Here is a 23856-nt window from a genome sequence, read left to right on the forward strand (position 1 = left end):
GGAAAGGGGAGGGAAGAGTGGGAAGGACTGTTTATCATGGTTCAAGGACCAGCTAAGCCACATTAGAATAGAATGCCAAGTAGACTGCTAAGGTTTTTAACTCTAGCCCATAGCTCTCAGATGGCATCCCTGGACCCACCCAGTGGCCGGAGGAAATTGCCACCCTGAAGGGAAGAACACAAGGCTGCTGGCTTTACCAACTGCTGATAGTAGAGCCCTAGGGCCTTGAGCAAACATAGGTGTTGGCCAAGTATTGGTTACAGTGGACACTGGGTGAGACTCAGGGATGTGCTGGCTTCAGGTCTGACCCAGAGCAGTCTTTGTGATGGTGGCCACAGGGGCGATTGTGTCACCTCAGCCCCAGGTGGCTCAGCACAGAGACAGATAGACAGACAGAAAGGGAGAGAGAAAAAGAGGGAGAAAGAGAGACTGACTGACTCCATTTGTTTAGAAGAAAGTAAGGGAAGAGAAGAGTCTGCCAGGTAATCCAGAGAAGTATTCTGGATCTTATTTAAGACCATCATGCCAGTATGAGTCTATGAGTCTCCAAGAATAACACAATTACTAGGCTTCAGTCTCCTAATACAGATATGACTTAGATCACAACACCCAAGTCCTTTTGAATGCCTGGAAAGCCTTCCCAAGAAGGACAGGTAAAAACAAGCCCATGATGTGAAGACTACAATAAATACCTAACTTTTCAATATCCATGCCCAGATACTGACAAGCATCAATAAACATGAAGACCATCCAGAAAAACATGACCTCACCAAACAAACTAAATGAGGCACCAGGGATCAATCCTGGTGGAGAAAGAAAGGTATGCGACTTTTTAGACAGACAATGCAAAATAGCTGTGTTGAGGAAATTCAATGAGATTTAAGATAACACAGAGAAGGAATTCAGAATGTTATCAGATAAATTTAACAAATAGATTGAACTAATTAAAAAGAATCAAGAAGAAGTTCTGGAGTAGAAAAATGCAACTTACACACTAAAGATTGAATCAGAGTCTCTTAATAGGAGAATTGATTAAGCAGAAGAATTAGTGGGCTATTTGAAAATACACAGTCAAAGGAGATAAAAACACAAAGAATAATGAAAGAATGAAGCATACATACAAGATCTAGAAAATAGCCTTCAAGGGGCAAATTTAAGAGTTACAGGCCTTAAAGAGGAGGCAGAGAAAGAGATAAGGGAAGTAAGTACATTCAAAGGGATAATAACAGAGAACTTCCCAAACCTAGAGAAAGATATCAATATCCAAGTACCAGAAGGTTACAGAAAACCAACCAGATTCCACAGATGAGTACCTCAGGGCATTTAATAATCAAACTTCCAAAGGTCAAGAATAAAGAAAGGAGCCTAAAAGCACCAACAGAAAAGTAACAAATAACATACAATGGAGATCCAATACACCTAGCAGCAGACTTTTCAGTGGAAACCTTACAGGCCAGGAGAGAGTGGCATGACCTATTTAAAATGCTGAAGGAAAAAAAAAAATTTACCCTAGAGTAGTATATCTGGAGAAAATATCCTTCAAACACAAAGAAGAAATAAAGACTTTCCCAGACAAACAACAACTGAGGAATTTCAACACCAGACCTGTCCTTGAAGAAATGCTAAAGAGAGGACTTCAATCAGAAAGCAAAGAATGTTCATGAGCAATAAGACATCATCTGAAGGTACAAAACTCACCAGCAAAAATAAGTACACAGAAAAATACAGACTATTATAACACTGTAACTGTGGTATGTAAACTACTCTTAAGTAGAAAGACTAAAAGATTAACCAATCAAAAATAACTACAACAACTTTTCAAGACATAGTACAATAAGATATAAACAGAAACAACAAAAATTAAAAAGTTAATTAAAAAGTGGGGGACAAAGTTAAAGTGTAGAGTTTTTATTAGTTTTCTTTTTGCTTGTTTGTTTATGCAAGCAGGGTTTAGTTGTTATCAGCCTAAAATAATGAATTATAAGATAGTTTTTGCAAACCTCATGTTAACAAAAATCATACAACAGGCACAGAAAAAAAAAAAGCAAGAAATTAAATCATACCACCAGAGGAAATCACCTTTACTAAAAGCAAGACAGGAAGGAAAGAAGGAAGAGAAGACCACAAAACAACCAGGAAACAAATAACAAAATGCCAGGAGTAAGCCTTTACTTATCAATAACAACACTGAATATAAGTAAACTCTCCAATAAAAAGATGGAAAAATATATTTTATGTCAATGGAAACCAAAAAAGAGCAAAGTAGCTAGGCTTATATCATCCAAAATAGATTTAAAGACAAAAACTATACAAAGAGACAAAGAAGGTCATTATATAATGATAAAAGGGTCCATTCAGCAAAATGATATAATGATTGTAAATATATGTGCACCCAAAACTGGAGCACCCAGATATGTAAAGAAAGTATTATTAAAGAAAGAGATGAACTCCAATAAAATAATAACTGGAGACTTCAACACCCCACTTTCAGCATTCAACAGATCTTCTAGACAGAAAACAGACAAAGAAACATCAAACTTAATCTGCACTATGGACCAAATAAACCTAAAAGATACTTACAGAACATTTCATCCAATGGTTGTAGAATACATATTTTTTAAATTTTTAATTTCTTTTCTTTTCTTTTCTTTTTCTTGCCCTATCTTATGGTGCTGAACAATACATATTCTTCTCAGCACACAGATCATTCTCAATGACAGACCTTCTGTTAACGTCACAAAATAAGTCTTAAAACACTCAAAACACATTGAAATAACATCAAGCATCTTCTCTGACCACAATGGAATAAAACCTTAAATCAATAACAAGAGGAATTTTGAAAACTATACGAATACATGGAAATTAACAATATGCTCCTGAAGGACCAGTGGGTCAATGAAGTCATTAAAAAGTACATTGAAAAATTTCTTGAAACAAATGATAATGGAAACACATATACCAAAACCTATGGAATACAGCAAAAGTAGTTCTAGGAGGGAAGTTTATAACTATAAGTGCCTACATCAAAACAGAAGAAAAACCTTCAATAAACAACCTAATGATTCATCTTAAAGAACTAGGAAAGCAAGAGCAAACCAAACCAAACTCAAAATTAGTAGAAGAAAAGAAATAGTAAAGATCAGAACAGAGATAAATGAAATTGAAATGAAGAAAACAATATAAAAGATCGATGAAACAAAATGTTGGTTTTTTTGAAGAGGCAAACAAAATTGACAAATCTTTAGCCAGAATAACTACGAAAACATGAGAGAATAAATAAATAAAATAAATAAAATCAGAGATGAAAAAGGAGAAATTACAACTGATACTGCAGAAACTCATAGGATCATTAATGGCTACTATGAGCAGCTATATGCCAATAAATAGGAAAATCTAGAAGAAATGAATAAATTCATAGACACATACCATGTACCAAAACTGAACCATGAAAAAACCCTGAACAGACCAAATGAGATGGAAGCCATAATACAAAGTTCCCCAGTAAAGAAAAGCCCAGGACCTGATGGCTTCACTGCCAAATTCTACCAAACATTTAAAGAAGAACTAATACCACTTCTACTCAAACTATTCTGGAAAATAGAGAATGGAATACCTCCAAACTCATTATAGGAGGCCAGAAGTATTACCTTGACACCAAAACTAGACAAAGACACATTAAAAAAAGAAAACTACAAGCCAATTATCTCTAAAGAATATTGATTTAGAATTATCAATAAAATACTAGCAAACTGAATTCAATAACACATTAAAAAGATATTTCTTCATGGCCAAGTAGGATTTATCCCAGGGATACAAGTATGATTCAAAATATACAAATCACTCAGTGTGAGATATCATATCAACAGAATGAAGGCCAAAAACCACATAAACATTTCAATTAATGTTGGTGCTAAAAATGCATCTGGAAAAATTCAACATCACTTCATGATAAAAACCATTACAAAACTGGGTATAGAAGGAACATACCTCAACACAAAAAAAAGCCATATATGATAGACCCATAGCTAGTATCATACTGAATGGGGAAAAACTAAAAGTCTTTCCTCTAGGATCTGAAACATGACAAGGATGCCCACTGCCACTGTTATTCAACATAGTACTGGAAGTCCTAGCTATAGCAATCAGACAAGAGAAAGAAATAAAGGGTATCTAAACTGGAAAGGAACAAATCAAGTTATCCTTGTTGGCAGATGATATGATCTTATATTTAGAAAAACCTAAAGACTTCAATGAAAAACTATTAGAATTGATAAACAAATTCAGTAAAGTTGCGGGGGACAAAATGAATAAACAAAAATCACTAGGATTTCCATAGCCAGCAGGGAACAATTTGAAAAATAAATTAAAAATAATCCCATTTACAATAGCTACAAACAGAGTAAAATCACTTAGGAATTTACTTAACTGAGGAAATAAAAGATCTCTACAATGAAAACTGTAAAACATTGATGCAAGAAATTGAAGAAGACACAAAAAAATGGAAAGATATTTCATGTTCATGGACTGGAAGAATCAATATTGTTAAAATGTCCACAATACTCAAAGCAATCTACAGATTCAATGCAATCACTGCCTAAACAATGACATTCTTCAGAAATAGAAAAAAAAAATCTTAAAAGTTATATGGAACCACAAAAGACCCACAATAGCCAAAGCCATCCTGAGTAAAAAGAACAAAACTGGAGGAATCACATTACCTCACTTCAAATTATACTACAAAGCTATAGTAACCAAAATAGCATGGTACTGGCATAAAACCAGACACACAGACCAATGGAATATAATAGAGAACCCAGAAACAAATCCATACATCTACAGTGAACTCATTTTTTACAAAAGTGCCAAGAACATATAGTGGGGGAAAGACAGTCTCTTCAATAAATGGTTCTGAGAAAACTGGATATCCATATGCAGAAGAATGAAACTAGACCCGTATCTCTAACCATATACAAAAATCAAATAAAAATGGATTAAAAACTTAAATCTAATACCTCAAACTACAAAATTACTGTAAGAAAACATTGGGGAAACTCTCTAGGACATTGAATTGGGCAAAGATTTCTTGAGTAATATCCCACAAGCACAGGCAACTAAAGTAAAATGGGACAAATGAGATCACATCAAATTAAAAGTTTCTGCATAGCAAAGGAAACAATCAACAAAGTGAAGAGACAACTCACAGAATGGAACGATACATTTGCACACTACCAATCTGACAAGAGATTAATAACCAGAATACATATGGAGCTCAAACAACTCTATAGGAAAATATCTAATCAACTGATTAAAAAATGGGCAAAAGATATGAGTAGATATTTCTCAAAAGAATATACACAATTGGCAAACAAGTATATGAAAAGGTGCTTAAAATCATTGATCATCAGAGAAATGCAAATCAAAACTATAACAGGATATCATCTCACACCAGTTAAAATGGCTTTTATCCAAAAGACAGGCTAACAAATGCTGGCAAGGAGGTGGAGAAAAGGGAACTCTCTTACACTGTTGGTGGGAATGTAAATTAGTACAACCAGTATGAAGAACAGTTTGGAGGTTCCTCAAAAAACAAAAAATAGAATTACCAGCTGGGCACAGTGGCTTACAGCTGTAATCCCAGCACTTTGGGAGGCTGAGACAGGTGGATCACTTGAGGTCAGGAGTTCAAGAACTACCACACAATCCAGCAATCCCACTCCTAGGTAGGTACCCAAAAGAAAAGAAATCAGTATATCAAAGAGATATCCGCACTCCCATGTTTATTGCAAAACTATTTACGAGAGCCAAGATTTGGAAGCAACCGAAGTGTCCATCAACAGATGAATGAATAAAGAAAATGTGGCACATACACACAATGGAATACTTGTCAGCCATAAAACTCAATGAGATCTTGTCATCTGCAACAACATGGATGGAACTGGAGGTCATTATGTTAAGTGAAATAAGCCAGGCACAGAAAGACAAACTTTGCATGTTCTCACTTACTTGTGGGATCTAAACATTAAAACAACTGAATTCATGGAGACAGAGAGTAGAAAGATGGTTACCAAAGGCTGGGAAGAGTAGTGGAGGGATGAGGGAAGTGGGGATGACTAATGGATAAAAAAAAAAAAAGAAAGAATAAGATCTAATATTTGCTAGCACAACAGGGTGACTATAGTAAAGAGTAATTTAATTGTACATTTAAAAATAACTAAAAGAGTATAAGTGGATTGTTTGTAACACAAAGCATAAATGCTTGAGGTGACAGATACCATATTTACCCTTATGTGCTTGTTATGCATTGTATGCCTGTATCAAAATATCTCATGTAACCCATAAATATATATACCTACTATGTACCCATAAAAATTAAGAATAAACAAAATAGGAATTGCAAGGATCTGAAAAAGGCAAGTGTTTGTGAAAACATCTAAAATTGTTTAGAATTCTGTCATTAACCTGGGGCTATGTCCTTAAAAATTCTATCCATACCATTTAGATAGCCTGGAGCAGCTGGTTGGAGCTGGAGTTAATGAGGTAAGATGTGGGAATAAACAGGAAGGGTTTCCTCCACTCAGGGACCAAGGCTATGAAACACTCCTTCCTTATCCTAGTTGAGTATATTTTCCAAGGAAGACTCTTCTGGAGCATTCTCAGTGAGAGTCAATCCTTAAGTTAGGGGAGAGGCAGAGTTTAGCCAGAGGGCTTAATCTACCAGTAGAACCCTTTGCCACGTTACTACTTTGGTATGCAGTGTACAGAGTGGATGAGTGCCAGTTGAAATAGAACTGGGAACAGGTACAGGGTGGGAAAGCAATGCTCAGCCAGAGGACTTCTGGGCCTCAGGCTTGATTCAGTGTGTACCAAGGAATGCCAAAGGCAGATCTTGTTCCTACTGTGCCATTCTGACCAAAGAGGCCCTGACCAAAAGGACGACCATCTAGTCTCAAAAGAAAGAGATGGTATCCTCCTGACAATCAGCCTCTAAAACTGCAGCACTACTTCTTGTGGAGGTAAGGAAGGCTGCCACTAAGAATGTACATAAGGGTCTTTAGAGATAGAACAGTGTCTCCCCATTTGTATTCTGCAAACATTAATCCCATAAAATGCCCCTAGAAAAAGTCTCCCTGCTATCAAGTACATTTGAGAAATACTGTTTACTATGTTCCTCAACTAGGAGGATCACACTACCCCTTAAGCACATGCAAGGGGCTGACAAGTCATGCCACTTAAAAACATCTTACTTTGTTTAACCAACCTTATTAAAAGAGGTTAACATTATTTAGTGGTTAAGAATAGGGGTTCTCGAGCCAGGCCTTGTACTTCATGTTCCTCTACTTATTAGCTGTGTGAGCTTGGGAATGTTGTGCACCTGTGCTCAGTTTCTGCACCTGTAAAATGTAAACAATAATATACCTTCCTTATGGAGGTATCATGAAAATGAAATGAGCTACTAAGTACCAATCACTGAGAACGGTACCTGGAAAACAGAAAGAACTAAAAAAAATTAGCTATTATAATTTATATTATTATCTGATTATTAATATCTAATTTTTTTTTTTTGAGATAGGGTCTCACTCTCACCCAAGCTGCAGTGCAGTGGCACAATCATGGCTCACTGCAGGATTGACCTCCAGGGCTCAAGCAATCCTCCTACTTCAGCCTTCTGAGTAGCTGGAGCTACAGGCATATGCCAGCACATCTGCTAATTTTTTAATTTTTTACATAGATGGTGTCTCATTATGTTGCCCAGGGTGGACCTGAACTCCTAGGCTCTAGTGATCCTCCTGCTTCAGCCCCCAAAGTGCTGGTATTACAGGTGTGAGCTACTTTGGAGCAGAGAAATGCTAAGTATAGAAAAATCCCCTCTCTACCCAAAGAGAAGTCAACATAGTCTCTGTAGCACAAAAAGCACAACTAAGAAATCAGAATTTCAGTCTCCAATATCAACTTAACATTCTTGGGTATGTGTTTCCTTATCTATAAAAATAAGATTATTAGACTAGTTATTCCTTCTAGTTGCAATAGGCCAGGATTCTAGGAAAAATACATAGTTGCCATTAAAACCAGCAGCTCTTGCCCAGTCCTGGTTCCAACCTGATTGCTTTTAAGGTTCTACCTTCCAGACATCTTACCTATATTTAAAGCTGCCATTGCAGGACTTCAGGTTAAGAGCTGGTTGCTGCCCAGCAAGATGGGTATAGAAATGGCCTTGTGCCACCTAACCCCAGAGTTCTGAAGCACACAGAGTGAAATAAACTAGCAACGGCAATGACGTCAACAGGCTGCAACTTGCCTCCTCCAGAGGACACCTCTGCACCTCTAATGCCTACTGCGTTGGTTTCTGGCACAAAAGTTGGGCATCATTCCCATATTCCCTACTGTGGTACTGTGGTCTCCAGTACCCAGAGAGTCCCATCCTATATATTGATCACTTTGCTTATCTGAATCCTGCCAGCTCTTTCTAAGGGCTGAACTCTTCTTCGAGTTTTTCTCATTTGTACAAAACACCAGGTTGCAGTTTCAATGTGGATACCCATCTGTGCTCAACTTTGCTGACATATCTTAAATCCAGACCTTATCTGTTGAGTCTAGCACTGCCCCAGCAGAGAAAGGGCTGCTGCTTCTGCCCTGAGTGTATACTGTACGTACCTCTGTGTAACCCAGCTCAGTCTTTTAGATTTCTAGAATGTCACATGGCTGTGTCCATCTGCATTTTAACTGTGCCTTCATCCACCCATCCAGCCATCTTGCCAGCCATCCAATATTTATTAACTTCTTCCTACATCCAGGCACTATACTAAGTTCTGTTGGCACAATATTGAACAAAAACAGACATTCCCCCATTCATTCAGTCAACACATATTTTAGTAGAGGAAAAAGGTGAACAAATAAATGAACAAGATCAAATAGTGGAAAGTGCTATGAAGAAAATTAAACAAGGTAAGATTACAGAGTAATGGTGATGTGAAGAAGGGGGGTCAGGTTGGGCCTCTCCTCAGAGGGGATACCTGAACTGAGACCTGAACGACAAGAAGCAGGTGGCCATGCAAAGACCTGGTGCAGAGTATTCTCCCAGTAGCAGGGAAAACAGCCAGTCCACAGATCCTACAGCCAGAACCAGCTCGTGATAAGGACAGGGAGATAGAGCCAGTGTGCCTGGAGCAGAGTGAGAGTGAGAGAGCCAGAGATGAGGTCAGAAAGGGAGGCAGGGCCAAGATGTTCCCCGGCCTTATTGGCCAAGATAAGGAGTTTGGATTTTATTTTCATTGCAACAGGATGCCATGGAAGAATTTTAAGCAGGAAGCGACATGATAAGGAATGATAAGTCCATCCATCTTCTTGGGACCACTGCAACAACTTAGTATATGCTTAGCAATATGTCAGTGAATCTCAATCAAATCCTACATTTTGTTGGCTTATAATTGCATTAGAAATAGTAAGGTACTATAACAGAGTGGAAGCTATATTTATAACAAAACCACCAAAAGAGATCCCTGTTGGCCTGAGAGAAATGTTACAATGTAATTTAAGAAGTTAGAATTTCATATTATGTTGTTTTAATTAATAAGATAAACTCTTCTTTTTGAGATTCAGCAGTGATAACAGCTCAAGCAGGAGCACCAAGAGAATCCTAAAATGACAGCTTTACAGAAAAAGAAGCACTGCTCACAGTGACTCAGCCAGAAAAGTAAGAGAATTGGAAATGTAAAGATAACTTTAACAAGTGTCATTCTGCTATTTTATAGCTCTTGCCAATATAGCTCTTAAAAAATGTGCATGAAAGTGAATTTCCAATTTAAAAAAAATCCTAAACACAGGCAAAATTAGAAGCGCCATTCCTCGCCATTATAATAAATGATGAAGTGGGTGGTACAAAGATGAAAAAGCAGAGCATCTCTTTCTAATCCTGACACACACTTTCCCATTTTCACTGATCCTTCATCTTGGAGTGAAGACCTGGGTAGGGAAGATGATTCCTGGTATGTTCCTTATAAGAATACATCTTTCCAGGGGTGACAGCAGGGACCAAACCAGTTCATAAGATTCTGTCAAGTTTCTCTGTATCTGTGAAACTGGAAAAGCATGTGTGTTTCTGACAATAATATTCAGAAAAGGGACTAAAACCACATGAAGTACAATCACCAATAGAAAAGGGCATTGAGTAATTAACATTCAGACCGCTCTAAGAGCTCCTCTAATTAAAGGTGCTAAGACCACACTAATGCCGCCAATTGCAGGCCAGGCTTCATGCACCTGTGTTTCCATGAGATTGAAATGACATCCTTAAAGGGGGCAAGGCCTTCTGGGTCTCACAGGGAAGAAATATAGATTGGTCTTCCTCCCAAACCTCCCATATTTGGTTTAGATTACTCTTTTACTTTTAATTTCTTTAAGACTTGTGTTGAGGCTACTTTGTAATAAAATTCCTCTCAAGTTAAATCATCCATGGATGACTGTTCTATTTCCCCCAATACGCCGTAAAATCCTTTAAGTCAGAGTCATTTCTCTTGCTGCCCACTCACCCATGGCATGCAAATTTCAAACAGTACATGAGGGAAGGAGTGAAATATAAAACTATTGTTTTTCAGCTTCACTCCTCAAAGATAACCACTGTTAAGTTTCTTGTCTCTCCCTCCATGAACATTTGTGGGCATATACAAACTTTTGCATTATTCAATCCCATAAGCAGAACTTAAAGAAATATGGATAGACAGAATTTTAAGTCATATCTGGTTTAAGGCAGTGTATGAATAAATAAAATAAATACAAACTACTGCAAAATAAGGGGAGGCTGTGGACATTCCAAGGCAGATCTAATAACCTGCCTCCACCCACCACTCACACTCACTCCACCCCCAGGACCTTAGTGGGCACTGCAGTTGGTGGCAGATGGAGTAATCCTGGTGAGTGAGTCCAGTTTGGTCTCTGACCCACTGAGTGTTTCCTGGCCAATTCAATCCATTGCTCCAGATCTCAATTTCCTCTCCTACAAAATGAGAAGATGTTCTTTAAGGTCCTTTGAGACACCAGGATTGGAGTTGACCAATGGGCAGCAAATATAAATAGGCATGCTAAGACCAAAGACTGTACTCTATGAGTGCCTGAGGCTCAGAAAGAGGAAGAGCATCACGGAGACAATCCATGTAACAGATTTCCAAGAGGAGAGGAATGTAAATAAGATTGGAGCAGTTTTTTTCTCTCCATTTCTTGAGGTATGATTCATAGGAAAATCCACATCTTGTTTTACCACATAACAGAGGTACAAAGCAATATACAATGCTCCTGAAGTTTTCTTAGGATACATTAATAACCCTTCAGAAGTAGAAACAACCCATGTTTATTTATTTCTCAGCAACGTAGGTTGTATTCCCACCAGCATCCGAGGGCTCGTATTTTCCCATTGTCAAGAGTCGCAGATATGTGCAATTACATATAGTAGTGATAGGGCCACAACTTAAGCCACAAGTTAACATTTAATTCTCATTTGACACTCATTTGACAATTAGCTGACTGCGAGGGAGGCGGGGGGTCTTCCTGTTGGTCATCTTGCTGGCCAGTCTACATTTGCAGAACTGAGTTAGACTAGGAGAACAAATAAATATCAAGGGCAGTAGGGAAGTGATAAGGGAGAGGGCTAAGGAGAGAGAGGGAAATGGCTCAGAAAGTAGAACCCTGTTAAATAGACCAATCCTGTTAAACATCCATTTGGCAATTTGACTTCAGGCTAACAGCAGCAAAGCCACTAATAATGGTTAAGATTCCTGGGTCTCCTGCAAACTTGGGAGAAGGGAGGTGGCATTCACAAGTGTCTACCTGATCTTCTTGCCATTTCCCAGAGGCAAGATGGGAGCTGGAGAGAAAGCCTGGAGTTATACAGCTGTGAGTTCTGCCACAACTAGACAATTACGTAGTCAATTCTGAGCATCTGTTTGTTCATTTATTTAAAAAGAGATAGACAAAGGCCGGATGCGGTGGCTCATGCCAGTAATCCCAGCACTTTGGGAGGCTGAGGCACGCAGATTGCCTGAGCTCAGGAGTTCGAGACCAGCCTGGGCAATACAGTGAAACCCTGTCTCTACTAAAAACACAAAAATTTAGCCAGGTGTGGTGGCATGCACCTGTAGTCCCAGCTACTCGGGAGGCTGAGGCATGAGAATTGCTTAAACCTGGGAGGCGGAGGCTGCTGTGAGCCGAGATTGCACCACTTCACTCCAGCCTGGGCAACAGAGAGAGTCTCTGCCTCCAAAAAACAAACAAACAAACAAACAAACAAAAAACAGATAGACAAAGCAATACATGCATTATGCTTGTTATGATTTGAAACTAGGGAATTCCACGGGCTATCTCCTGTGAAAGAGAGGATCCTTAAAAAATAATTCCAAGTAAAACTGAGAAATCACGGCCTAGAAAAGAAGCCATTGCTCACCTGAAAGGAATTCACACGGCGAAGGGATGAAGGCAGATTGGCATTACTCTTTGACAATATCAACAGCAGCTCCAAGCAGGTTGCAGAGGGCAGGGTTAGCGGGTGGACGCTGATGTCACTTTCCCACAAGCTGACAAGTCTGGAACACACCAACACATTAACTTTCAAAAATGCATTATCATAATTATTTTAAAAATCTGATATGAAAGAAGAAAACTCAATTGTGAGAGAAAAAGGCAAAGTACAAAAACTAGAAATAAACTATATTAAAAATTCACAGAGAACATGTCCAAGACGTTTTTATGGTGTTGTTGATATAAAGCAGATGGATCAGGCAATTTTTCAGGCCATCATTTCATACTCTGAAGTATACAGTCACAGGAAATGCAGTCTTAGTTCTGTGGGACCTGCTGGGGGAAGGGGTGGCAGAGACTAACGGCTAACACACTGAATGCTTCCTACATTCTATGCCCTGTTCTACATGTAATCTCGTTTACCCCTCAGAAACCTAAGAGAAGGAACTATTGTTATCCCCATTCTACAGCTATGAAAATGTTTTTCTGAGCTGGATAGGCCCTTATGGAACATTTAGCTCAGTGATTTTCAAACTTTTAAAAAGTGACAGAATCCTTTTGTTAAAAAAAAAATCTTGTAACAGCCCCAACTTATAATACAAATAAAAGCGAAGCTGCTCTGTCTGAAGGGAAAGGTTGGCAGGAGGCCTCCCTTCATCTTCCAGAGTGGCCCTTGAAGCATCTCTGCTATATCCTGCGGAACCTATTTGAAAATCCTTTCATTTTAGAGATCAGGAAACCAAGGGCTAGAGAAGTAAAGGGATCTGTCTGAGATGAGGCAATGTGTAGAAAGTGATATGGCTGGGGCTAGAATCCTGGCTTCCTGGCTCCTCATCTAGTGCTTAAAGGGAAACATCAAAAAATAATTATGAGAAAATAAAATAATAAGAATAGCATGCATTTTAGGTTTTCAACTTTTCTGTTTACTTATTTCCTCTCTGATCTGCGACCAAAGTGTCTCTTATCACTAATTTTAAAGATATATGTATATAATATTTATATTGGTTTATATAAATATACATGTATTTTTTGCCACTTCTATAAACTTCTCTCTGAAAAGCAATCTTTAACCAAATCAGTGGTGAATAATGGAAACTTGGAGAGAATCAGTGGTTTGGGACATAATGGATTTTAAATAATTTACAGAACAAGTCATGGCAAATGGTTTAGATGTTTTATCAATCAGGTTACTTATTATGCTGACAGATTTCTGATGTGGGGTGATGGAGTTCACTCTCCGTTGAAGTACTGGCCAACTAGTTGGACTGGAATAAGACACTGGTCCAGTTTTTGTGTAGGGGAGAATAGATCACCTCCAACCCCCTTTTAGCTCTTAGTAGGCTCTTCAGCTGGATCTGGGAGCCAAACTGACACCAGGCAGATTAACAAGAGAAAAGTCTACAAATTTTATTAGTTTTACATGTACATGGGGATCTTTACAAGTAAGTGAAGTCCAAGGAAGTGGCCAAAGCAAGATGCTTTTATACATTTTTTGGCACAGAGTGCCAAAATGAGGAAAATGACAGGACAAGGAAAATCTGGCTAGAGGAAGTAAATTTTCTAGGGGAGTCACTGGAGATATATGGTGTGGGCGTCTGTAAAACAGATGGAAGATAAGGTAAATATGTTTATTTGGGTCCACTGCAGTCTCCAATTCCAAGTCTTGGGTGATAAGCGCTGTTTTCTCACCTTGGTATGGAGAGGGTGCCCCTCCCAGAGGAATCTTGATCGCTTGCTGCATGCAGGAAAAGACAAACCATGTCCTCTAATTTTTTTTTTTTTAGAAAAATAGAAAATTTTAATCTTTACATACAACTTGTCAAGACCCCTAACTGTTTTTAAAAAGTTCCCCCACCCCCCTCAAAATCTGTAGAGCATAAGTCTTGGCCTAAACTGACCTGATTTGTAAAATATCTTCCTCTCTGCACTTTTCCCTTCAGCCTGAGGCTCTTTGCTGATCCGCTCACAACAGAAGCAGCTTGGCTTTCCTCTGGTAGTACCACCAGCCCGCAAACCTAGAGTGTACTCTCCACCCCTGGGTCACAGAACTTCATTCTCCCCTGCTCTGTAACCCAAGGACCCTACAGCCTCTGAGGTCTAACACCCAAGCTCTTCCTTGCAGAAGAGCTGAGATGCTAAGGAGACTATTTGCAGCGTCATAATAAGCCCTTGATTTGTTGAGCTCCCACATAGCTTTCTTCAACCACCTGGCCCACTTCCTTCAACCACATTCCACTTTGGAATGCGTGTCTTTAAGGCACCAAGTGATCTTAAGAATTGGCTCTGTTTCTTTGAATCCAGTGATCCAAATTCCTATCTCAGTGAGACCTCCAAAAAAAAAAAAAAAAAAAAAAAAAAAAGGATTGGCTCTGCTCCTAAGGAATGTAAGGCCTGCCTTTTACACACCAGTTGTATTTAGTGACAGCTGGATGCCAGTCCACACCCCTTCAAGCACCTCACAGTCCCAAACAGGGTGCTCCTACAGGCCTCCCAGGGTCCTGTTAGTGGAAGAAAGGCAGCTCCAGGAAGTCTTCATCTAGCCTTCATGACGGGAAATAGTTAATCCTCTGGGAAATACGCTTGCAGTCCCGGGAAGAAAAGAGTTGTTCCTCCTTGGGGACATGCACCATCATCTTGGCAATTTCATTCAGTGTCTCTTCTGTATGCAGGAGCTCCTAGCTCAGGAAGGCATCCTGTCCACACAGCCTCATGAGACTCCAATTTCTCCAAAGTTTTCACCTCTAAATAATCAATATACCAATCTGACACATTTTGGGATGGCATGTCCTTCACTCCTTCATAGGCAAAGGCACATTTAAGTGTCTTTTCTGTGTTTAAAAAATTATCTTACATTGATTGACTGGTTCTGCTATTCTTTTTGCTTTTACTCATTACATAACATTTTCAACATTTCTCTGGAATGAAAATTAAAATGTTGCTGTCTTTTCCATAATTCAAACTTAATGCTAGTGCAGTGGCTCTAAGCTCACTCACCACCCACACCCCTTCCTCATGCTCTCCATAATCCACTATTGTCTTACATATACAGTTAACTGGGCCTGAAAGGCAGTTATCCTTGCTGCTGAATTTCTATTCATCCTGTGAGACCCACTTACATATCATTTCTTAGAGATATTGTCCTGTTTCCTTTATAAGAACTTGCCTAATACCATACTTATATCACTTACATACTAGTAAGGCATTTGTAAGTGATATAAATATGGTATTAGGCAAGTTCTTATAAAGGAAACAAATGCCTTACTAGTATTCTTATTTGGGATACGTCTATGTCTCTAATTCTTTCTAGATCAGACATGAGTGATTTCCTCTAACTTTCTCATCTTCTTTGGAAATAAAGATTTAAAAGTTGCCTCAATGTTGCTTTTCTGCAGACACAGTCAGGTATTAACCTCTTACTGGCTAAAATAAATACCTTTTCAATTTCCTCACTGACATTTGTATGTTCAATAAAACAACTCAAGTTTTCAGAATTTATACCACTGACCCCAACTCCTGCCACCCACAATAGGGTTCACTGAAGCTACTTTCATTCTGAATTTTTTTAAAAAGTGTGGTGAAAAGGTTTTTGCTTTTTCTGAATTGAATCTCTTGCCCTGGATTGTGAATGTTCCTTGGGAACTCATCAGTGAATCTCTAAGACCTATTCCAGGCCCATGATGCTTTGGACCTTCTCGAAATGAGGTAAACACTGTAGCCTGGACCATGGCCTACCACGGTAGAAAGCATCTCAAGACAGTCACTTTTTCATCATTTTCCATTCCTCTTTGGGCAGTAATATATTTGCAAGAGAAAGGGAAAATGGTAAATTATGCAAATAAATATTTTGAAGACACATTACTTAGTTAATTATGGCTATAACATGGTCGCCTTTAATTTTTACAAAATTACTTCAGTCTTGTAAGCCTAAGGCCTTAGGTTTTTTCTGACTATCACTTATCCTATGCCTAACACATCCAGGCACCAGGTCAGGCACTTTAGTTATATTTGTTGTCTCTAATCCTAAAGCAGCCCTGAATGGTAGGCATCATTCATCCCATTTTAAAAATAGGAAACCAAAGGCAGAGAAGTTAAGTGATTGTCCAACATCATGCAGTTAGCAAGAAGTAGGACCAGGATTCAGTCAGGTCAGCCCGAATGCAAAGTCTGTGCTATTCGCACCACACCACACTGACTGCTGAGGACACTGTATATATTATCCTCTCCAAGCAAACCATAAGTAGGAATTTAATAACTGAATCTGCTAATGCCTACTTCTTCTGCAAGATAACTCTTTGGCTTGCAAAATATAGTTGAGTATTTTGATCTTTTTTTAAGAAGTTATTTGGTGGGAGGATCACCTGAGGTCGGGAGTTCGAGACCAGCCTGATCAATATGGAGAAACCCTGTCTCTACTAAAATACAAAAAATTAGCCAGGCATGGTGATGCATGCCTGTAATCCCAGCTACTCGGGAGGCTGAGGCAGGAGAATTACTGGAATCCAGGAGGCAGAGGGTGTGGTGAGACGAGATCATGCCATTGCTCTCCAGCCTGGGCAACAATAAAACAAAAAAAAAAACAAAAAAGATGCTAATTTATTTTTTATACGTGTGTGTGTGTGTGTGTGTCTGTATTACTTTAAAACTTGACTAGGAAAGGTAGTAAGATAGACAATGAAAAATATTCATGTTAGAGTAAGTGAAAATAACCATGTGATGAGAAAAAAAGATTAGGGGGCAATACATTCACAGTTGTTTCCACTACAGGAAAATAATAATCTGGTTTTTACATTTTCTTCTTTATACTTTTATTTTTCAAGTGTTATTTTTATAATCAAAAACAAGTAATGTTATGCTGTTGATGTGATTTCTGGTTCAGACAAAGGAAATTTTAAATGCTACTTAAAAGTTTCAACATGCTGCTAAATGGCTATGGTATGACCTATCAAAAATGGACACTCAAATAGAAATAAAAATACATTGGCACCGCCTTGTCACTCATCAGTGAGTGATCATGGACAAGCACTCTGGAGCCTAATTTCCTCACAGGACCTTGGAGTCAGGTATACAACCTGTCCAATGTATCAAACTATCAAAATTTATACAAAAGGACATTGTTACAGTAATGATAACCACAGTCACAAAAAAGATACAATTAGTTATCATTTTAGTTACCCATGTCTCTATGTAATTACAGACATTTGCATGGTATGTAAATCCAACATTGGCATTTTAAAATTAATCCTTAAAATATTCTGTGATTTAACAATTTTTATTCCCATTGAAGCGCATAAAGGAAAAGAGTGTTATCTTGATCACAGGGCCAATAAATGATAGGAAAATCTCAAGCATGATCTTTACCATCTAAATCCCATTCTTTTTAATATTCCATGAACAAGGCAAAAGTATATTAGGCATTATTTAATTCCACCCAAAGAGATTAAAAACCCCAAAGGCAAATGATAGGGTAAATTCTAGATATCTCAAAACCCTTCATCTTAAAATAATTTGAGCAATCTTATTTTTGAAATTAGACAAACTAGCTAGGTCTAATATTGCTCACATTTCTAATGTTCATCCTGCTCTTTCTATTCCCACAGTACGTTTTTCATGAGTCTCAGGACTTATTTCTAATGTTATGATTTATAAACTTTCTCTGTAATTTCAATCACATAAAATATTACTTTAATCACAGGAAGCATTCATACATATGAACAAAGAAAGTAATAAATAAAAATGAAATTAGTTGTTTAGGAGAGTAAGAACTACAGGTAACTTTCCCTTAAAACTTCAGGTAAAGTTTTCATCTTTTTTTTTTTTTTTTTTTGGAGAAAGAAATAAAAGAGAACAAAATGGAAAGAGGAAGAAATGGCTTGGCATACTGAATTCATACAGTATATCCTAAAACAATCACCAAACTCATTATGTGGAATTTAGGACATATGTTGATAAAGCCAGAGGTGTCATTTGCAACTCTGCCCATGACTCACATATTATATTAGTCTTGGTTCTCTAGAGAAACAGAACTAATAAGACAGATAGATATATAGGGAAGTTTATTAAGGAGTGTTAACTCACACAATCATAAGGTCCCACAATAGGCTGTTTGCAAGCTGAGGAGCAAGGAAACCAGCCCCAGTCCCAAAGCCGAAGAACTTGGAGTTCAATGTTCGAGAACAGGAAGCATCTAGCATGGGAGAAGCAGGTAGGCTGGGAGGCTAAGTCAATTTAGCCTTTTCATGTTTTTCTGCCTGCTTTATATCCTGGCTGGGCTGGCAGTTGATTAGATGATGACCACCCAGATTAAGGGTGGGTCTGCCTTTCCCAGCCTTCTGACTCAAATGTTAATCTCCTTCACAGACACACCCTCACAGACACACCCAGGATCAACATTTTTCATCCTTCAACCCAACTGAGTTGACATTCAGTATGAACCATCATAAATATCAATACAAATGTCTGTTGATCAAGCATTTTAAGAACCATAGGGCAGAATCTGGAACATTTCTGGTATTTCCTATAAAGACATCACAGACTATTGGACCTAAATCAGTAATCATCCACTATAAGTCAATAAGAAAGATACTTCAAAAGGAACAATGAACTAAACGTCAATTGAAACTTACTTCTATGATTTTTAAAGTACTGAGAGAGGAAAAGCTTTCCTAGGAGACCAGAACTGTCAGCCAGATGACCTTAGTCTAACAGACCAAAATACAAGTAGAGGACACACCATCCTTATTTCTAAACTTTTGCCTTGTCAAAATTCCCTAGAGAAGCAACTACGGCCTATCTATTTTCAAAGAGGCATTGAGAAAGGGAAAAAAGTCACTTTCTATCACTTCTAACATAAATGGTGAAATTGAGAATGAATCAAACCAATCAATATCAAGAAAAGAACCTGAGTAAATAGAAAGGTGATATAGTCTTCTAGGAAACATGGAGGTCGTTTAATGTAACACAGGTTAAAATGACAATAGAAATGATATAACAACTCTACCAAAATTAAAATATTTAAAAGGAATCCAAAATATTATTGTGTAGAGAAGAAAAAATGGTATGTATGAGAGAGCTCAAGATGAAAATATTTAACTTAAACCTCGTTTCTCATATTTTAGTAGATAATTTGAACTCTTCAACCCTAGAAGAACCTAAGAAAGCAAAGAGCCTATTAAAGATATTGAAATATTATGTTGCTTATACCTGTAAATTTTAGATGCTCACTTTCAAAGCTACGCCAATGATATGTCCATCAATTTAAGCTCACAAACTAGCAAAACAAGCAAATTGCAACAACTTAGTGATAGAATTTTTATAAACATTCACCTATTTAATACATAACCAAAATTTTAAAATTCTTATAAGCCATTCTTAGGAATACAACATTTTGAAACATCTAAATATATTGGAATGTCTGTTCTGATGAGCCATATTGACTGCATTATACTTAGAATATTTCAAAAGCATTAATTAAATAAAAATAGACCCTGAAAAAATGCACAAACTACTGTTTGTCCAAATAAAGTTCATTAAGTAATGAACAGTATCCATAAGAAAATTTTTCTTTGAAAATGACAGAAGAAAAATTTGACCCTTTCAAATTACAAATGCCAAAATTGGTCTTTAATTCTCTTTGAATTAAAGGGATCTTGAGAGAATTTAAGTACACAATTCCTGAATGCTATGCCTTTCAAACTTTGCCCATATGACTGTAAGTTTGTCAAGGTAAATCTCCCACACATCAGAAAGCATTGGGAAAATGGTTCTCATTTAAATAAGATACCAATAAGGCAGTCTCAAAATTAAATGTATTACTTCATGCCAAAAAATAAGAAATGTTGTCTTTTATAAATGCTTGTATCATTGCAAGACAGCAGTCACTAAGAACACAGAAATTAGACTGGGAACACTTTCATTAAAGAAGAGAACAGTGGCTCACACCTGTAATCCCAGCACTTTGGGAGGCCGAGGCCAGTGGATCACCTGAGGTCGGGAGTTCAAGACCAGCCTGACCAACATGGAGAAACCCCATCTCTACTAAATACAAAAAATTAGCCAGGTGTGGTGGCGCATGCCTGTAATCCCAGCTACTCGGGAGACTGAGGCAGGAGAATCGCTAGAACTTGGGAGGCAGAGGTTGCGGTGAGCCGAGATACCGCCATTGTCCTCCAGCCTGGACAACAAGAGCGAAACTCCATCTCAAAAAAAAAAAAAAAAAAAAGAAGAAGAAGAGGAGAATCCACCCTACAAACAAGCCTGTCAGAAACTTCATAATTAGAAGTGATATAATTAAGAACATAATAATTAGAAGTCTATCTAAAGAGGCCAGCTACTTCTTCAGATTTTAAAGAACTTTTCATTATGGAAAATTTCAAATACAAATTCAAAAATAAGAGAGAAAAGTGTAATGAACCCATGTACCCAAGACCCAGCTTCAAGCCATCATTCTCACATGGCCAACTTTGTTTCATTTGTATCTCCACACGCCCCCAACCCCTCTGAATTATTTTGGAGGAAATCCCAGACAACATATCATTCATTTCATGAGGAAATAATTCAGTATGTATCTTTAAAGATAGATTCTTTTAAAAAGAATATCCACAATATAATTTATTACACTTTGAAAAAAGTAACAATTCTTTCATATCAGGTCTGTAGTTAGTGCTCAAATATCCTCAACCGCCTCATTATTTTTTTTTACAGTTTGAGTTTGGACTAAATAAGATCCATATATTGCAACTGATCGGTATGTCTTTTAAGGCATTCCTCATCTGTATGCCACATATTGTTTGATTCCATTTATATAAAATGCTCAGAATAGGCAAATCCATAAAGACAGAAAGCAGATTAGGGGTTGTCAGGGGCTGGAAGGAGGAATGGGGAGTGATTGCTAGTGGGCAGAGTTTCATTTTAGGGAGACGGAAATATTCTGAAACTAGATAGTGATAGTGGCACAACCTTGTGAATATACTTAAAAACCACTGAGGGCCGGGCGCGGTGGCTCACGCCTGTAATCCCAGCACTTTGGGAGGCCGAGGCGGGCGGATCACGAGGTCAGGAGATCGAGACCATCCCGGCTAAAACGGTGAAACCCCGTCTCTACTAAAAATACAAAAAATTAGCCGGGCGTAGTGGCGGGCGCCTGTAGTCCCAGCTACTCGGGAGGCTGAGGCAGGAGAATGGCGTGAACCCGGGAGGCGGAGCTTGCAGTGAGCCGAGATCCCGCCACTGCACTCCAGCCTGGGCGACAGAGCGAGACTCCGTCTCAAAAAAAAAAAAAAAAAAAAAAAACCACTGAATTGTACCCTTTAAAAGAACAAATTTTATGGTATGTATATCATATTTAAATTTAACAAAAAAAGAATTTGTGGAAAAATTAAATCAGTTCTAGGGATACCTATAGATCTATTCAGCTCTTTCTTATCAAGACAGATGGATGCTGAATGCACTGATTTAATTATGTAACAGTGAGCTAGGAGAACTAGTAAATATTCCCAACAGAAACTCAAACATATTATGGTTGCTATTGTAATTAATTCTAGAAAATTTTTACTTGCAAACAAAATGTGAGACAAACTGGTCTCTATACTATGTAGTTCACCACCTTAAAAATATTTTTTTCATTTTTTTCATTTTATTAATCTTTTATTTCCATTCCCTGCCTCAAATGGGAAAATCAAGCCCCACATGATTTACTCTGTCGAGCTGGCATCTGCTCTCCCTTGTCCTTCACTTTTTCCATTTTAAATATTTAAACCATTTCTTCCCACTTTTTGTTCTGAGATAATTGTAGAGTCACATGCATTTGTAAGAAATACAGAGATGCTGTCTATCCTTCACCCTGCTTCCCCTAATGGTAACATTCTGGATAACTACATCAACATTGATATAATTCACCAACCTTTTTTAAACCTCATGTTTAAACATGCATTCATTTGTGTGTGTCTATGTGTATTTACTTCTAGGCAATTATTTCACATGTGCAGACTCGTGTGACCACATTAACACTGAATAGCCAACATACAGAACAGTTCCATTACGAGCATCTCTTAAGATAACTCTTTAGAGGCACAACCACCTCCCTTCCCCATCGCCTCCACTCCCTACCCCCTGGCAACCACTAATCTGTTCTTCATCTCTATAATTTTGTTATTTCAAGAATGTTACATAAGTAGAATCATATAATATGTAGTCTTTTTTTATAACTCACCATAATTCCCTCGGGATTCATCCAAGTAATTGTATCAACAGTTCATATTTTTTTTCTTTTTTAAAAAGAGATGGGGTCCTGCTCTGTCACCTAGGCTGGAGTGCAGTGGCGTGATCATAGCTCACTGCAGTTTTGAATTCCTGGGCTCAAGTGATCCTCCCACCTTAACCTCCTGAGAAGCTGATTCTAGAGGTGTGCACTGTTACACCAGGCTAAGTTTAAAAAAAAAAAATTTAAGAGATGGATCACTATATTATCAAGGCTAGTTTCAAACTCCTGGCCTCAAGCAATCCTCCCACCTCAGTCTCCAGAATAGGTGCAATTACAGGCTACTCAACTCCATACCTAGCTTTCATTCCTTTTTATAACTGAGTAAATTTCCATGGAATATAATCACAGTTGTTTATCCATTCATCTACTGAAGGACATTTGGGCTGATTCAGTTTGGGGCTATTATAAATAATAGCTACGAGCTGCTATGAACATCTGTGTACAGGTTTTAGGGTGAACATTAAGTTTTCATTTCTCCAGGATAAAAGGCCCCAAAATGCAATTGCTGGGTCATATGATAAGCACATGCTTAAAAAGTTCTTAATTTTAATGTAATCAAGTTTTTGTATTTTTAAAGCTTACCACTTTTTGTGTCCTGTTTAAGAAATCTTTGCCAAATCTCATATTGTACTGCATTCTCCCCCTTTTAACCTCCCTCACCTCTCCCTATTTCCCCTGCCCCCCACCCCATCACTGATCTCTCACTATCCACTGACCACTCTCTGCCCTCAAATCAACTGCTCTGGGACTAATAATTCACTCTCTTTAATGGCTATATAACACATCAAGGTGTGTATGTCTAAAATACTATACCTTGGTTATCTTTTCTCCCAGTTTTCTTTTCCTGCTATGAACAATATTACAATAATGTCCTTGCTTACATTTCTTTACATTCTGGTACTTTGATTTGTTTGGAATAGAATCTCAAGAGTGGTAATATCAGATTGAGGTGTATATGCATTTTTTAATTTTAATAGATATTTCTGGAAAGTCTGTGCCAATTCACATTTTCACAACCAGTCATCAGAGTACTCTTTGCCCCATACTCCTGCCAACAGTGAACTAACAGTTGGGGTTTTTAAAGTTTGATGGAA

General features: G+C 37.9%; 1 protein-coding gene across 14 annotated transcripts in view; it reads right to left on the bottom strand.

Annotated features, from left to right (window-relative positions):
• UBE3D (ubiquitin protein ligase E3D) overlaps positions 1-23856 on the bottom strand; it is a 185040-nt gene that overhangs the window by 64080 nt on the left and 97104 nt on the right. For 12 of the 14 annotated variants that reach the window (NR_146809.2, NR_146808.2, NR_146807.2 and 9 more), the window contains one exon: positions 12431-12569. Coding sequence is in view for 11 of the 14 variants with exons in the window: in XM_017011458.3 (XP_016866947.1) it covers positions 12431-12569 (139 nt within the window). In the remaining 3 variants the exon portion in view is untranslated. Of the gene's footprint in view, positions 1-2; positions 10991-11458; positions 11587-12430; positions 12570-23856 lie in introns of those variants that run through there. The other 2 variants (XM_017011459.3, XM_011536241.4) reach the window with 2 other exon arrangements.

The sequence above is a fragment of the Homo sapiens genome, chromosome 6 (assembly GCF_000001405.40).
Source record: "Homo sapiens chromosome 6, GRCh38.p14 Primary Assembly".
Classification (NCBI taxonomy): domain Eukaryota; kingdom Metazoa; phylum Chordata; class Mammalia; order Primates; family Hominidae; genus Homo; species Homo sapiens.